The sequence below is a fragment of the Homo sapiens genome, chromosome 14 (genome assembly GCF_000001405.40).
Source record: "Homo sapiens chromosome 14, GRCh38.p14 Primary Assembly".
NCBI lineage: Eukaryota > Metazoa > Chordata > Mammalia > Primates > Hominidae > Homo > Homo sapiens.
Genome location: NC_000014.9, coordinates 57,792,948 through 57,809,773, shown reverse-complemented (window position 1 = coordinate 57,809,773; position 16,826 = coordinate 57,792,948). Strand labels below are relative to the sequence as shown.

At 38.4% G+C, this 16,826-nt stretch overlaps 1 protein-coding gene across 14 annotated transcripts in view, besides 1 other annotated feature; it reads left to right on the top strand.

Annotated features, from left to right (window-relative positions):
• SLC35F4 (solute carrier family 35 member F4) overlaps nucleotides 1-16,826 on the top strand; it is a 419,262-nt gene that overhangs the window by 173,408 nt on the left and 229,028 nt on the right. The window contains exon 1 of one of the 14 annotated variants that reach the window (XM_011536724.4): nucleotides 9,341-10,362. The exons of the other annotated variants lie outside the window; for them this stretch is intronic. Coding sequence (XP_011535026.1) covers nucleotides 10,314-10,362 — 49 coding nt within the window. The 5' untranslated portion in view covers nucleotides 9,341-10,313. Of the gene's footprint in view, nucleotides 1-9,340; nucleotides 10,363-16,826 lie in introns of those variants that run through there. 14 annotated transcript variants of the gene reach the window in all.
• Nucleotides 9,856-10,355: an enhancer, noted in NCBI's record as "H3K4me1 hESC enhancer chr14:58266137-58266636 (GRCh37/hg19 assembly coordinates)". NCBI's record gives its function as "activates a minimal SCP1, AML or CMV promoter by ChIP-STARR-seq in naive H9 embryonic stem cells {active_cell/tissue: H9 hESC(naive)}" and the evidence as "EXISTENCE:reporter gene assay evidence [ECO:0000049][PMID:30033119]".

Here is a 16,826-nt window from a genome sequence, read left to right as displayed (position 1 = left end):
AGGAAAGAATAATCAAGCCGTGTGGGGCAGTGTCTCCGATAACAGTGTTTACCAAATAATGGTCATTTTAAGGGAATCACAGATGAACAATTTTTAAATATCAAGAGTTAAGCATTTGCTGTAATGCATTATATTAATTAGAATAAAGTGCTGTAATCAAGAACCTGAAAACCTATGAGTTAAGACAGTAAAGGGTGATTTCTCACTTCACACTATGGTCCAATGTGGGCTTTGATGGGGGTGGATCTTCTGTACCACAGTCAATCAGGGAATCAGACCCCTATTTGGGGCTTTAGGTTCTTCTGGGTCGTGGAGTCTGCTTCTTCTAGCCACTGCACAGACCAAAAGAGGGCATGGAGTTATTTAGGGGCCAGGACTGCAAATGCCATGAATCACTTCTACTCATAGTCTATTGGCCAGAAGTCAGTCACATGATTCCACCTAACTGCAAGGAAAGCTGGGAAATGTATCCTAGCTGTGTGACTAGGAGGCAAATGAAATGGGGGAGGGAGAGACACTTAACACTGTCTCCCTTACATGCAAACTTTGTGAAAAGAATAGCCCATCAAAGCCTTGGTTTCACAGATACAGTGTTATTGCTTAGGTGAAACTGAAGTGGTAGAGCCAAGAACTGTAATTCGCTTTCTGCTGACCACATGGATCACTTGGAGGTAGGTTCCTGGCGGGGAAAAACGTGTGGGGGTGCATAGGAGGAATAAAAATCATTACCAAAAAGACATTGAAGAATGTGGCTGGGCAAAAAATGCCACTATGTAAACTCAGAGTGATTCAGGGCTATTCAACCTCCTGTAGATTTCTGCTCTGGACCTAGAAAAAAAGAAGAACAATGGATTAAAATCCTTTTTCAGGGCACTTCCCTCTAATTAGTCATAAAGCCACTTAAAATGAAGTTGTTGATACTGACTTATCAGCAGTTAATTTCTTGCATGAGAAAAAATTTTCTTTTTGAGACGGAGTCTCGCTCTGTCACCCAGGCTGGAGTGCAGGGGTGCCATCGTGGCTCACTGCAGCCTTGACCTCCTGGACTCAAGGGATCCTCCTTCCTCAGCCTCTTGACTAGCTGGCACCGCAGTTTTGCACCACCACACCCAGAAAATGGTTTTTTAATTTAATTTTTTATAGAAATGGGATCTTGCCATATTGCCCAAGCTGGAGAAAGAATTTTCAGGAGTATATTTTTATAAATTGACTGGCTATTACTCTGTGTATTTCATTTTAATTTTTAAGTTTTAAATTTTGTTATCAAATAATCATTAACAGCTATTTTTGGCACAAAGAAAAATAGAATTTCCAGGTGTGAGTTTTTGTTAATCAATTAGTATTATGCTTTGCATTTTATTTTCATTTTTATAATGTGATAACATTCATGTCTTTTGACTGCCTTTGTCATGATCACTTTCTATATTTGTGGTAGGTCAGAGGTGACCATGGAGCCAGCACAGGTGGAGCGGATTCCAGTTGCTGTCTGACTTTGAGCCAAATTACTGATCTTTCCATGCATCAGTTTTCTCATCCTAAAATTATAGCAATAATAATACCTACCTCATAGGATTGTTGTGAGAATTAAAAGAGTTAATATTTATAAAGCATTTATAATTGTGCCTGATATGGCTTGGCTGTGTCACCACCCAACTCTCACCTTGAATTGTAGTTCCCATTATCCCCAGGTGTGTCATGGGAGGGACCTGGTGGGAGGTAACTGAATCATGGGGGCAGGTTTTCTTGTGCTGTGTTCATGATAATGAATAAGTCTCAAAAGATCCGATGGTTTTATAAAGGGCAGTTTCCCTGCACACGTTCTCTTGCCTGCCACCATGTAAAACATGCCTTTGCTCCTCCTTTGCCTCCCACCATGATTGTGAGGCCCCCCAGCCATGTAGAACTGTGAATCTATTAAGCCACTTTTTCTTTATAAATTACCCAGTCTCAGGTATGTCTTTATTAGCGGCATGAGGACAGACTAATACAGTGCCTGGCAAGTAAAAATAAATGAGCCTTTTAATAGAAAAAAAGTAATAAATAATAATATAAGTGGTAGAGTGATATGGCCAGAAATTGTGATGTTGGTAAGCAAATTTTTCAAGTGTGGAACTCACTGTCTTATGTGATGATTGATGGCTTCCTTATAAATCAGTCAGTAGATTTGGCTTGGAGTTTTTTCAAATCAATCAGTACTGAATGAAAACTCTTCCTCTGAGAGCAAGTATAGTGTTTTGCTACAGCCCTGTTGGAACAAAACTTCCCTAAAAGTGGTGCTCAAAGAGGCTTGGTTTCTGAACAAGTTGAGATGTAAAACAGCATAAAGATGGGGCCAAAAATTGCCTGTTTCCTGCTTGGAGGCAGGAGGGAGGCAACGGCTTTGGCTCTGTTGGCTCTGTGGGTTGCTAACAGGGGAAGCTCTGAGTTAGGCAGAACTACCTGGCCCCACCTAGGTAGCACCAGCTGGGGCAGAATTCCCCTCCAGGAGGAGGGTGAAGGCTTTGGATGTGAAGGAGCAGAGAGAACTCATGCTCTCAAGAGGAAGAACAGTCAAGCTAATTGGAGCATACCTTTTCCATTCAGCCTGAATTTACTAATCCTATTTGTCACTCTTCTTCCTCAAAATGGAGTAAGTAAAATGGGCAGAAAATGGAAAAACTACTATTTTTACTACTAATTTTTCATAAATGTTTCTAGATTTTAAATGCATAAAATTTATCAATGATTAAGAGGACTTGTTATTTTCTGAAGCTAAAAAACAATAGCAAGAGTTATTTATTTATGCTTTGTTCTGATAAGCTTATTAGCAGGCAATGGGATTGCATGTCACATTTTTGCAGAATGTTTAACAATAGTTATTAGTAGCAATTCCCCACAAAGCCAAGTAGGAAGTAGCTTTATTTTTTCCAAATGTTTGCTTTGGAAATACAAACACTAAATATTGATATATTCAAAATTACATTTGCAATGTAGGAATTTTGATTTTAAAAAACCATTTTCTCCACACAACCCAGTGGTAACATATTTTCAGGCTTTTAATGTTTGTTAAATCAAACAAATCCAAGAAACATTCATAAATCGGAGAGTGTCTAACAGAATTATATTTTACTCTGTGTGACCCTGGGAAAATCATTTCATATTTCTATATTCTACTTGTCTTTGAAGAAATAGAGATCATGATATTCTATTAAATAAAATTATTTGAAGCTATCTGGGAGAAAGAGCATGCTAACTATTTCTGAGATTACAAAATTTACAATTTATTTTAATATAACTTTTGAGGCAGGCCAGTCTATTTGGCTGAAAATAATTAAAATTTGGAGACATGATTGGTGTGTGTTTGGGACACAATATTTTCATGTGCTTGGTAATGTCAAAATTTCCTTGGTTTTACAGTAATAAAATAGCACCTTTATTTTTAATGACTATACTATAAGGCAATGTCAACTATTTTGTAGAGATTATAGTATTTCATTGCTCTGGTTAGCAATGTACTTTAAAAATGCAGCTGTAATTTTAGCTGTGGGAACAAACATTTGTGTCGTTGCTAATAAACAAAACTTTTGAAGATCAGATATCTCTATTGCAATATTAATTTGCTTTTCACCTTTTTTGGTAAGGATGTGGGAGAAGACAGAAAAAGGAGGCATACAAAAATGGAAAACTACATTTTATAAAAACAAATTTGTCATTTAGGAAATGTAATTTCCAGTGGTATTTTATTTGAATAGAGCATATTCAATATGAAAAATATGGAAAAATGTGGAAAAATAGAAATAAAAATATTTTATCAGCCTAGTGTTTCATCACTTAAAGACAACATGTCAACAATTCTGAGAATATTCCAAACCTGGTTTTCTAGTGCCTTTTCTTTTTACATTGTTGTGACCTTACTTTGGATACTACTTTGTATGCTGCTTTTTTCATTTAACATTATAGCATAAGCAATTTATAGATGATTGCAAATTTTTACAAACTTTTGTTTTCTTCAACTTTCAAGTTCAGGGGTACATGTGAAGGATGTGCAGGTTTGTTAGATAGGTAAACGTGTGCCATGGTGGTTTGCTGCACAGATCATCCCATCACCTAAGTATTAAGCCCAGCATCCATTAGCTGTTCTTCCTGATGCTCTCTCTCCCCCTACTCCCCACTCCAACAGGCCCTAGTGTGTGTTGTTCCCCCAGCCATGTGTTCATGTGTTCTCATCATTCAGCTCCCACTTACAAGTAAGAACATGGGGTGTTTGGTTTTCTATTCCTGCTTTGGTTTGCTGAGGATAATGGCTTCCAATTCCATCCATGTCCCAGCAAAGGACATGATCTTCTTCTTTCTATGGCTGCATAGTATCCCATGGTGTATATGTACCACATTTTCTTTATCCAGTCTATCATTGATGGGCATTTAGGTTGATTTCATGTCTTTGCTGTTGTAAATAGTGCTGCAATGAACATATGCATGCATGTATCTTTATAATATAATGATTTCTATTCCTTTGGGTATATACCCAGTAATGGGATTGCTGGGTCACATACTATTTCTGGTTCTAGGTCTTTGAGGAATTACCACACCATTTTCCACAATGGTTGAACTAATTTACACTCCCACCAACAGTGTAAAAGTATTCCTTTTTCTCCACAACCTTACCAGCATCTGTTGTTTTTTTGACTTTAATAATAGCTACTCTGACTGGTGTGAGATGGTATCTCATTGTAGTTTTGATTTTCATTTCTCTAATGATCAGTGATGTTGAGCTTTTTTTCATATGTTTGTTGGCCACCTGTATGTCTTCTTTTGAGAAGTGTCTGTTCATGTCCATTGCCTACTTTTTAATGGAGTTCTTTGTCTTTGTCTTGTAAATTTGTTTAAATTTCTCTTGTAGACTCTGGATATTAGACCTTTGTGAGACGGATATATTGCAAAAATTTTCTCCCATTCTTTAGGTTGTCTGTTCACTCTGATGATAGTTTCTTTTGCTGTGCAGAAGCTCTAGTTTAATTAGACCCCATTTGTCAACTTTTGCTTTTGTTGCAATTGCTTTTGGCATTTTTGTCATGAAACCTTTGTTTGTGCCTATGTCCTGAATGCTATTGCCTGGATTATCTTCCAGAGTTTTTATAGTTTTGGGTTTTACATTTAAGTCCTTAATCCATCTTGAGGTAATTTTTATATAAGGTGTAAGGAAAGGGTCCAGTTTCAATTTTCTGCATATGGCCAGCCAGCTCTTCCAGTATCATTTATTAAATAGGGAGTCCTTTCCCCATTGCTTGTTTTTGTGAGCTTGTTGAAGATCAGATGGTTGTAGGTGTGCGGTCTTATTTCTGAGTTCTCTATTCTGTTCCATTGGTCTATGTGTCTGCTTTTCTACCAGTACCTTGCTTTTTTGGTTACTGTAGCCTTGTAGTATAGTATAAAGTTGGGTAGCGTGATGCCTCCAGCATTGTTCTTTTTGCTTAGGACTGTCTTTGGTATTCAGGCTCTTTTTTGGTTCCATAAGAATTTTTAAATAGTTTTTTTGTACTTATGTGAAGAATGTCAATGGTAGTTTAATGGGAATAACATTGAATCTGTAAATTACTTTGGGCAGTATAGCCATTTTCACGATATTGATTCTTCCTATCCACAAGCATGAAATGTTTCTCCATTTCTTTGTGTCCTCTCTGATTTCTTTGAGCAGTGGTTTGTAGTTCTCCTCAAAGAAGTCCTTCACTTCCCTTTTTAGTTGTATCCCTAGATATTTTATTCTCTTTGTAGCACTTGTGAATGGGAGTTCATTAATGATTTGGCTCTGCTTGCTTGTTGTTGGTGTACAGGAATGCTAGTGATTTTTGCACAATGATTTTGTATCCTGAGACTTTGCTGAGGTTGCTTATCAGCTTAAGAAGCTTTTGGGACTGGGTGGCTCACGTCTGTAATCCTAGCACTTTGGGAGGCTGAAGTGGGCGGATCACCTGAGGTCAGGAGTTCGAAACCAGCCTGGCCAATGTGGTGAAACCCTGTCACTACTAACAATACAAAAATTAGCCAAGCACGGTGTCAAGCGCCTGTGATCCCAGCTACTCAGGAGGCTGAGGCAGGAGAATTGCTTGAACCCAGGAGGCAGAGGTTGCAATGAGCCATGATCGTGCCTTCGTACCCCAGTCTGGGTGACAAGAGTGAAAGTCCATCTCAAAAAAAAAAAAAAAAAAAAAAAAGAAGAAGCTTTTGGGCTGAGACAATGGGGTTTTCTAGATATAGGATCATGTCATCTGCAAATAAAAATAATTTGACTACCTCTCTTCCTATTTGAATACCCTTTACTTATTTCTCTTGCATGCTTGCCCTGGCCAGAACTTCCAATACTATGTTGAATAGGAGTGGTGAGAGACGGCATCCTTGTCTTGTGCCAGTTTTCAAGGAGAATGCTTCTAGCTTTTGCCCAGTCAGTATGATATTGGCTGTGGGTTTGTCATAGATGGCTTCTATTATTTTGTGTTATGTTCCTTCAGTACCTAGTTTGTTGAGAGTGTTTAACATGAAGGGGTGCTTGATTTTATCAAAGGCCTTTTCTGCATCTATTGAGATAATCGTGTGGTTTTTGCCTTTAGTTATGTTTATATGATGAATCACATTTATTGATTTGCATATGTTAAACCAACCTTGAATCCTGGGGATGAAGACAACTTGATCATGGTGGATAAGCTTTTTGATGTGCTGCTGGATTCAGTTTGCCAGTATTTTACTGAGGATTTTTGCATCGATGTTCATCAAGGATATTGGCCTGCAATTTCTTTTTTTTTTTTTTTTTTTTTGGTATCTCTGCCAAGTTGTGGTATCAGGATGATGCTGGCCTCATGAATGAGTTAAGAAGGAGTCCTTCCTTTTCAACTTTTTGGAATAGTTTCAGTAGAAATGGTACTTCTGGTAGAATTCAGCTGTGAATCCATCTGGTCCTGGGTGTTTTTTGCTTGCTACTTATTACTGCCTCAATTTCAGAACTTGTTATTGGTGTATTCTGGAATTCAATTTCTTCCTGGTTCAGTCTTGGGAGGGTGTCTGTGTCCAGGAATTTACCTATTTCTTTTGGATTTTCTAGTTTATGTGCATAGAAGTATTTACAGCATTCTCTGATGGTTGTTTCTATTTCTGTGGAGTCAGTGGTAATGTCCCCTTTATCATTTCTGATTGTGTTTATTTGAGTCTTCTCTCTTTTCTTTATTAGTCTAGCTAGCTTTCTATTTTATTAATTTTTTTCAAAAACTGAATCCTGGATTCATTGATTTTTTTTTTCAAAGGGGTTTTTGTGTCTCTATCTCCTTGAGTTCAGCTCTGATCTTGGTTATTTCTTGTCTTCTGCTAGTTGTGGGTTTTGCTCTCGGTTCTCTAGTTATAGTTGAGATGTTAGGTTGTTGAGATCTTTCTAGCTTTTTGATATGGTCATTTGGTGCATAAGTATCCCTCTTAACACTGCTTTGGCTACATCCCAGAGATTTTGGTACATTATCTTTTTGTTCCATTAGTTTCAAAGAACTTCTTGATTTCTGCCTTAATTTTATTATTTACCCAAGAATCATTCAGGAGTAGGTTGTTCAATTTTTATGTAGTTGTGTGATTTTGAGTGAATTTCTTAATATTCAGTTCTAATTTAATTGTGCTGTGGTCTAAGAGACTATTTGTTATGATTTCAGTTCTTTTGCATTTGCTGAGGAGTGTTTTACTTCCAATTATGTGATTAATTTTAAAGTAAGTTCCATGTGGCAATGAGAAGAATGTATATTCTGTTGTTTTTGGGTGAAGAGTTCTGTAGATATCTATTGGGTCCACTTGATCCACAGCTGAGTTTAGGTCCTGGATATTTTTGTTAATTTTGTGTTTCTATGATCTAACATTGTCAGTGGGATGTTAAAGCCTCCCACTATTATTGCGTGGGAGTCTAAGTCTGTTTGTAGGTCTCTAAGAACTTGCTTTATGAATCTGAGTGCTTCTCTATTGGGTGCATATATATTTAGGATAGTTAGCTCTTCTTGTTGAATTGAACCCTTTACCTTTATGTAATTTCCTTCTTTGCCTTTTCTTATCTTTTATTGGTTTAATGTCTGTTTTGTCAGAAACTAGGATTGCGACCCCTGCTTTTGTCTGTTTTCCATTTGCTTGGTAAATTTTCCTCCATCTCTTTATTTTGAGCCTATGTGTGTCTTTGCATGTGAGATGGGTCTTGGCTCTATCCAGCTTGCCATCCTGTGTCTTTTAAAGGGGACATTTAGCCCATTTACATTTGAAGTTAGTATTGTTATGTGTGCTTTTGTCACCATGATGCTAGCTGGTTATTTTTCAGACTTGTTTATGTGGTTGCTTTGCAGTGTCACTGGTCTGTGTGCTTCAGTGTATTTTTATAGTGGCTGGTAATGGTTTTCCTTTCCATATTTAGTGCTTCCTTCAGGAGCTCTTGCAAGGCAGGCCTGGTGGTGATAAATTCCGTAAGCATTTGCTTGTCTGAAAAGGATCTTATTTCTCCTTCACTTATGAAGCTTAGTTTGTCTGGATACGAAATTCTGGTTTGGAAATTCTTTTCTTTCAGAATGTTAAATATTGGTCCCCAATCTCTTCTGGCTTGTAGAGTTTTGGCTGAGAGGTTCACTGTTAGTGTGATGGGGGTTTCCCTTTGTAGGTGGCCCAGCCTTTCTGGCTGCCCTTAATATTTTTCCTTTCATTTTGACCTTGGAGAATCTGATGATTATGTGTCTTGGGGTTGATCTTCTCATGGAGTATCTTACTGGGGTTCTCTGCATTTTCTGAATTTGAATGTTGGCCTGTCTTGCTAGGTTGGGGAAGTTCTTCTGGATGATATCCTGAAGTATGTTTTCTAACTTGGTTCCATTCTCCCTGTCTCTTTCAGGTACCCCAATCAGTCATAGGTTCAGTCTCCTTACATAATCCCATATTTCTCAGAGATTTTGTTTATTCCTTTTCATTCTTTTTTCTCTATTCTTGTCTGCCTGTCTTATTTCAGATAATCTTCAACAAGCTCTGAGTTTTTTTTTCCTCCACTTGGTCCATTCTACTATTGATACTTGTGATTGCATTGTGATGTTCTTGCGTTGTATTTTTCAGCTCCATCAGTTTGGTTATGTTGCTCTCTAAACTGGTTATTCTGGCTATCAGCTCCTGTATTGTTTTATCATGATTCTTAGCTTCTTTGCATTGGGATACAACATGCCCCTTTAGCTCAGCGAAGTTTGTTATTACCCCCCTTCTGAAGCCTACTTCTGTCAATTCAGCCATCTCAGCCTCAGTCCAGTTCTGTGCCCTTGCTGGTTAGGTGTTGTGGTCATTTGGAGGAGAAGAGGCACTCTGGCTTGTTCAGTTTTTAGCATTTTTTGCATTGATTCTTTCTCATCTTTGTGGGCTTAGCTGCCTTCAGTCTTTGAAGTTGCCGACATTTGAATGATGTTTCTGTGGGGTCATTTTTGTTGATGTTGTTGTTGTTTTCTGTTTGTTTTTCTTTTAACAGTCAGGCCACTCTACTGCAGGGACTGCTGCAGGTTGCTGGGGATCCGCTCCAGACCCCAGCGGCCTTGGTTTCTCTTGTACCTGGAGGTATTACCCGTGAAGGCTGTGAAAGAGCAAAGATGGCAGCCAGATCCTTCCTCTGGAAGCTCTGTCCCAGTGAGGTACTGACATGTTGCCGGCCCAAACGTGCCTGTAGGAGGTGGCTAGAGACCCCTGTTGGGAGGCCTCCCCAGTCAGGAGGAATGGGATTGGGGTCCGGCTTAAAGAAGCAGTCTGGCCACTGCTGGCAAGGCAGCTGTGCTAGGTTGTGTGGGACCCTTCCTTGTCTGGACTATTTGTATTCTCCACAGCTGGCAGGCTGGAAAAGCTGAGTTGACTGAACCGCAGAGATGGTGTCTGCACCTCCCCCTCAGAGCTCCATCTCAGGGAGAGATCAGAGCTCTGTCCATAGAACTTTTGCTGGAGTGGCTGAAGCCCCTATGGGAAGGTCCCACCCAGTGAGGAGGAATGGATCGGGATCCTGCTTAAAGAAGCATCCTGACCATGATCTGGCAAGGCAGCTGTGCTGCATTGAGGGGGAGCCTTCCTCGTTTTGACCATTTGTATTCTCCAAAGCTGGTGGGCTGAAGCAGCTGAGTCTACTGAACCACAGAGATGGTGGCCACCCCTCCCCCCAGGAGCTCCGCCGGTCTCAGGCAGATTCCAGCCTGTTGCCATTGGCTGGCGGGAATTCCAAGCCAGTGGGTCTTAACTTGTGAGGTGCTTGGAAACGGGGCCTGCAGAACGATGCTGTGTGGCTCCCTGGATTCAGCCCCCTTCCTAGGGATATGTACAGACGGATCTGCCACCTCGCTGGGAATCCCGGGGCCAGAACAGGTAAAACTCCTAGGTCTCTGTGTATGCTTGAGTGTCTGCTCTGCCGAGACTCCACACAGCTCTGTGTATCGGACCCAAAGCCCTGGTGGCGTGGGCTCACGAGGGATCTCCTGATCCATGGGTTGCACAGATCTGTGGGAGAAGCGTGGTTTCCCGGCTGGGGCTGCACAATCACTGCTTCCTTTGGCTGGGGGTGGGGGTTTCTTTGGCTCTGAGCAGCTCCTAGGGACGTTGCTCCGTCCCTGCTTTTCTTTGTTCTTTGTGGGTCAAGTTGTTTGCCTAGTCAGTCCCAATGCAAGAACCTCGATATTTCAGTTGAAGGTGCAGAATTTATTCGCAGCCTTTCATTCCTGTGAGCGCTGAGGACCGCAGCTGCTTCTAATTGGACATCTTGTGTCAATCCCAAACTTTGTTTTAATTGGCTACATAATTCTATTATCAAGTGGTAAAAATAACAGATACTTCATTCTTAGCGTGAGTGGTGCTCTGATATTGACTGAGTTTTTGGAGCTTATCTTCTCTGCTTCATTTATTCTCTGCTTCTCTCTATCTAGTTTTTAAACAGAACTAAGCTGCTAAACCTAAGACCTTGCTGCATTTACTGTAAAAGCCCTAAAGTTGGCTGAGCAGGACGTGCCGCTGGCTCCAATAGAGAAGCATAAAAATCAAATGGCAACATTTACCATTTAATTACAGAACAGATATGTGCACATTTCCTATAAAGTTGATTTGTTCAGATTTAGTAGCCTCTGGATCCTAGGAGAAATGCTGAAACATTGTCTCTTCAGCAGGTGTGTGCTCGACAGCATCATGCTTATGAGATGCATCTGTAGCATTCCCTGGCTCAGATAATATGACAGGATGGTATGTGGTAGTTTGTGAGAACAAATGGTCTGAAGGAAGTTTCAGAATTGTTTAGATTTTTGAACTAGTTTTACCTTCTACCCAGTTAAGGCCTAATTAAGGTCATCAAGCTAACCATATATGGTTATTAATGATGTTCATTTAAAATTGAGTACAGAGGATCCTGCTGTCGTTCGTGTATGGTTTTAAAATTGTTTTCACTGTCATTTTTACACACTTGTGACCATGTTGAGTACACTTCATTCCAGGTTCTGTGATACCTACCTAGGTGTTTAGCCTCTCAGGTCCTCTAGGCATTTTCTCCATTTTCAATATGTTATTTCCATGTAGAGTGTATTTGTCAGCTTTTGTTGTAATAATGGTTTGTAATGACCCTTAAACCTCAGTGGTCTATCACAATTTTTTTTTTTTTTTTTTTTTTTTTTTGCTCGTGGGTCTGTGGGCTGTGTGAAGTTTACCTAGGCTCAGCTGGTCTTGGCTCTAGGCTGCAGGCTTGGTTCAAGACTGCTTCATGGGTCTTTTCTGGAGTTCAGACTGATGAGTGACGACCTATTGTATATTTTCCCTCTGGCAATGGCAGGAGGTTAGGAGAGCAACCCAAATGCACAAGCACATTTTATGTCTCTACTTTGTATTACTTTCACTAATATCCTGTTGGTCATAGTGAGTCACGTGGCCAAGTCCAAGATTAAGGGATGGGGAAGTACCTTCCCCATACTGTCAAGATATATGGCAAGGATATAAACTATTACAGGGGAGTGACAAATTGAGAGCAAGAATTCTACTTATCACCCAGTGTTTCATGTTTTGTTTGGAGTTTACAAATTTCTTCTCAGTTAACTTCCATTTTTATAAGACATCTGGTCTTTTCTGTGCATTTTTAAATGCCTTTTTCATCATGGACCCTTCTTCCTCAGTAGATTTATATACGTTTTAGGTGCATAGAATACTCCTAAGCTACTTTTCATAGACTGTTTGAGCTGGAAGGTACTTCAGAGTTTTAATTCTATTATTTTACAGATAAGGAACTGAAGTCCAAAGAGATGAGGTGACTGGCAGAAGAATACACAGCTAGTCAGTGACAATATATTTTAATGGGCAAAGCGGGGATGAGGACATTCTACAGTTCCTTTCCCTTTTGACCCAGCTGTCCTATCTCATTCTGTGCCTCATGAATAATCCCAATGCTACTTCCCAGGAGGAATCCAGCTGGCCTGGCTACATTGGAAATGCTAAAAACAGAATCATAAATTACCTGGGGCAGAGGGAACATGAATGAATCCTGCCCGCAAATTGCCCAGCAGGCAGCAAGTGTCCATCCTCTGCTAGCAGAGGTGATGGAACATGGGACTGCTAGACTATGGATAAGATTCACAGATCTTCTGAATGTCAAGGTTACTGAGGGTGCCTTTTAAAAATGGTTTTATGAATCCTGGAAGTTGCCAAGAGGTTATAGCAAAAGATTTTGTGTGCATTTTGGGGCATGCTTCTGAAAGCTGTTCTGTGTAGGAAGGAGCCCTGAAATTAGAAAGTTTTAGCTGATTTGTGCATGTGCAAATGCAAATTAATGTCCTTGCATATTTTCACTGAGTGGCAAGAGCACATTCACCTTGTTAGTGTTTACAAAATTGTTAATATTTTAATTAATGTCACCTGTCATCTGAGATTCCCAGTGAAACTGAATACTTCATTAACACTGGATAATATTCATTGAGGGTTTGTGTGTATGTGTGTTTGTGTGCAAGTGTGTGCTCATGTGAACTCCTTAGCTTGATGTTTAACTGCTTCATTGGTTTCCTTCCATCTGCTATGGCCAGGAGCCAGCTATGCCTACTTATTTCATTCTGCATGTGTAGTACTTTAGAATGACACTATTTACATGAGAATTTAAATAAATGTTTTTAAGAGGAAGAACTAAAATTCAATGTTTTGCTGCTAGAGGAGTTCCTTTCACTACCTACTCTGCTCTTAATGCTTTTATTTATGACTTTTAATATTTTTAATTTATGTGTATTTGAAACAAGTTGCACAAGCAGAAATATGTTATCTTCCTGTTACCTGAAAATACAATTGTTTGACTGTGACTATAAAAAGATTGTATACAAATTTTAATTCACAGGTCAGATTAGATGCAGTTTGTTCTTTAACTGAGGTAATCAAGCAAAGTTCCACAAATCTGGTGAAAATAGATTGATTATGTTTCAGATATAAAAACCTGTAATATAGGGGTAGATGAAAGTTTTGAAATGAAAAGTCATTCTAAAAGTTGTTCATAAAGACATATGCACACATATGTTCATCACAGCACTATTCACAATGACAGAGACATGGAATCAACCTAGATGCCCATTAATGGTGGACTGGGTAAAGAAAATGAGGTATATGTACCATGGAATACTATGCAGCCATATAGAAGAATGAAATAATGTTCTTTGCAGCAACATTGATATAGCCAGAGGCCATTATCCTAATTGAATTAATGCAGGAACAGAAAACCAAACACTGCATGTTCTTATTTATAAGTGGGAGCTAAACATTGAGTACATATGGACACAAGGAAACAAGTGACACTGAGGCCTACTTGAGGGTGGAGGGTGGGAGGTGGGCGAGGATTGAAAAACTAGGTATTGGGTACTATGCTTACTACCTGAGTGCTGAAATAATTTGTACACCAAACCCTAGTAACATGCAATTTGCCCATGTAACAAACCTGCATATGTACCCCCAAACCTAATATAAAGGTTGGAAGGAAAAAAAAGTGAAAGATGTCTATTATTAATTTTTAAATTATTCGTAAGTTCATCATATAAATATTTTTATACTAGAATATATATCATTTTCATTTATTTAATTCTGTTTGGAAATCAGCTTTATATTTCCATGTGTTATTTTTTCAAAGGAGTTTTTGCCATCTACTGGCTTCTAGTCCATTGGATTTCTGGGTGACTTTCCTGTAGCTGATAGTTCTAACTGAATGTATAATGCTATAACATGACTGATTTAGAAATTTTTATTATATTGGATCAATACATAAGCAGACTGGCTAAATGATTTGAATATGTAAAGTTGGCCAGAAATTCTGATGACTTCGATATGTTCAGTTAGGTTGTTGGGTGGCGAGCTCTTGAATTATTTTTCCTTCCTTATGCACATTAGGTTCTTAGTGAATGGTTCCTAAATAAGTGAAGTCTTTTCAGCTTCTTCTAGACTACCAGGGAGAAACTTGAAGGCTGAGCACATATGTGAAAGTCATAGACAGAACAAAAACTTTTAAGTTTGTTTACCAAGATTTTTCTATTTTTCCATCGATCCAAACCTAGTAAATATTCTGCTTTGTCTGTATATACAAACTGACTAGGAAGGGATATGATTACATTTAATGAAAATATTAGCTACTAACATTTATTGAATATATGCAAAGTCCCAACATCTGTGATAAGCACACATTAGCTCATTTAAATCCTAGTTACAACCTTTTGAGGAAGGGAGCTAATTTTATCTCTAACATACAGATGAGGAAAATTTGGCTTCCAGAGATGGGTGTAATTTGTTCACAGCTATATAAGTAATAATTGATGGAGCAGGAATTCAAAACCCATCTTCTGAATTCCACCAGCATCTTCAAGATTTCTGAAGGTCTTTTCATTAATCTCCAAAACCAGTACATATAATAGTTGAATGCTCAAAAGGTCAGTTTTTTTTCCCAGAAGTATGTTTTACTTGGACTCATGAAGCACCTATTTTCGAGTCGTTTCATTTACATATTATTTGCAGGGTACTACAGTCATAGCATTTATAGAACACACCCAAAGAAGCAGTTTTGTCCCAGGTCAAGTGGCCAGAATGATGAATGACATTGGAAATCTAAAAGAAGTTCAAACCCAAAGCATGAATTAAAATGAACAGAATGGGCCTACAGACCCATTCAGTAGTCAAGGCTACTATAAAAGAGAAAGTAGAAAAAGAACAAGTTTGCTTTTCACCACATCTGTGCTATTATCTATTAATTTTTGACTTGTTAATAATGGTCATTCTGGCTGAGGTAAGGTGGTATCTCATTGTGATTCTAATTTGCATTTCCCTGATGATTAGTGATGTTGAACATTTTTTCATATGTTTGTTGGCCATTTGTATATCTTCTTGTGAGAAATGTCTGTTTATGTTGTTTGCCCACTTTTTCTTGGGATTATTTTTTCTTGCTGGTTTCTCTGAGTTCCTTGTCAATTCTGAACATTAGTCTTTTGTCAGATGTATAGTTTGCAGATATTTTCTCCCATTCTGTAGGTTGTGTGTTTACTCTGTTGAATATTTCTTTTGCTGTGCAGAAGTTTTTAGCTTAGTTTGGTCTTACTTATTTTTGTTGCATTTGTTTTTGGGGTCTTAGTCATAACTTCTTTGCCTATGCCAATGTCCAGAAGAGTTTTCCCTAGGTTTTCTTCTAGAATTTTTATGGCTTGGGGTTTTAAATTTAAGTCTTTAACATATCTCAAGCTAATTTTTTATATGATGAAAGATAGGAATCTAGTTTTATTCTTCTGCATTCTTCTACAATTTTCCCAGCACCATTTATTGAATAGCATGTCCTTTCCTCAATTTGTGTTTTTGTGTGCTTTGTCGAAGATCAGTTAGTTGTAAGTATTTGGCTTTATTTCTGGGTTATCTATTCTGTTCTATTGGTCTATGTGAATGCTTATACACTGGTTTACACAGAGAATGTAAATTAGTACAACCTTTATGGAAAACAGTATGGAGATTTCTCAAAGAACCAAAAGTAAATCTATCATTCAATCCAGCAATTCCACTGCTGGGAAATCTACCCAAAGGAAAAGGAGTCATTATATCAAAAAGACACCTGGACACATATGTTTATTGCAGCACAAATGACAATTACAAAGATATAGAATCAACAATATGAACGGATAAAGAAAATTTGGTATACATATACCATGAAATATGACTCAGCCATAAAAAATAATTAAATAATGTCTTTTGCAGCAATTTGGATGGAACTGGAGGCCATTATCCTGAGTAACTCAGGAACAGAAAACCAAATACCAAATGTTCTTACCTATAAGTGAGAGCTAAGCTATGGGTATGCAAAAGCATACAGGACAGTTTGATGGACATTGGAGGCTCAGAAGGTAGAAGGGTAAGAGTGTGGTGAGGGATAAAAAATTACCTATTTGGTACAACATTCAGGTGATGGGTGCACTAAAAGCCCAGTCTTCACCACTGTACAGTTTCATCCATGTAACCAAAAACCACTTGTACCCCTAAAGCAATTGAAAAAAAAAAAATAAAAGTTTTTAAAAAATGAGCATAAAAAAGGTGGAGCAGGTGTTATTTTTCTCAGATTCACCCCTTTACTATTAATTCTTTTGCATTCTGTTACTCAGAGGAGCCTGGGCACATTTTCAGGATTTGGTAAGTTTTGTGATAAGACGAGGTTAGGCCTTTGGAGAATTTTCTTCTGTGTTTTCTAGACACCAGTTTCTAATATTTTGGTTTTGTTTTTTAAGTTACACCCCTTAATTTTGCTGAGTGCTTTTAATTTAAAAAGTTTTTTTAATGTATTCCATTTTAATAAAATACACTTAATT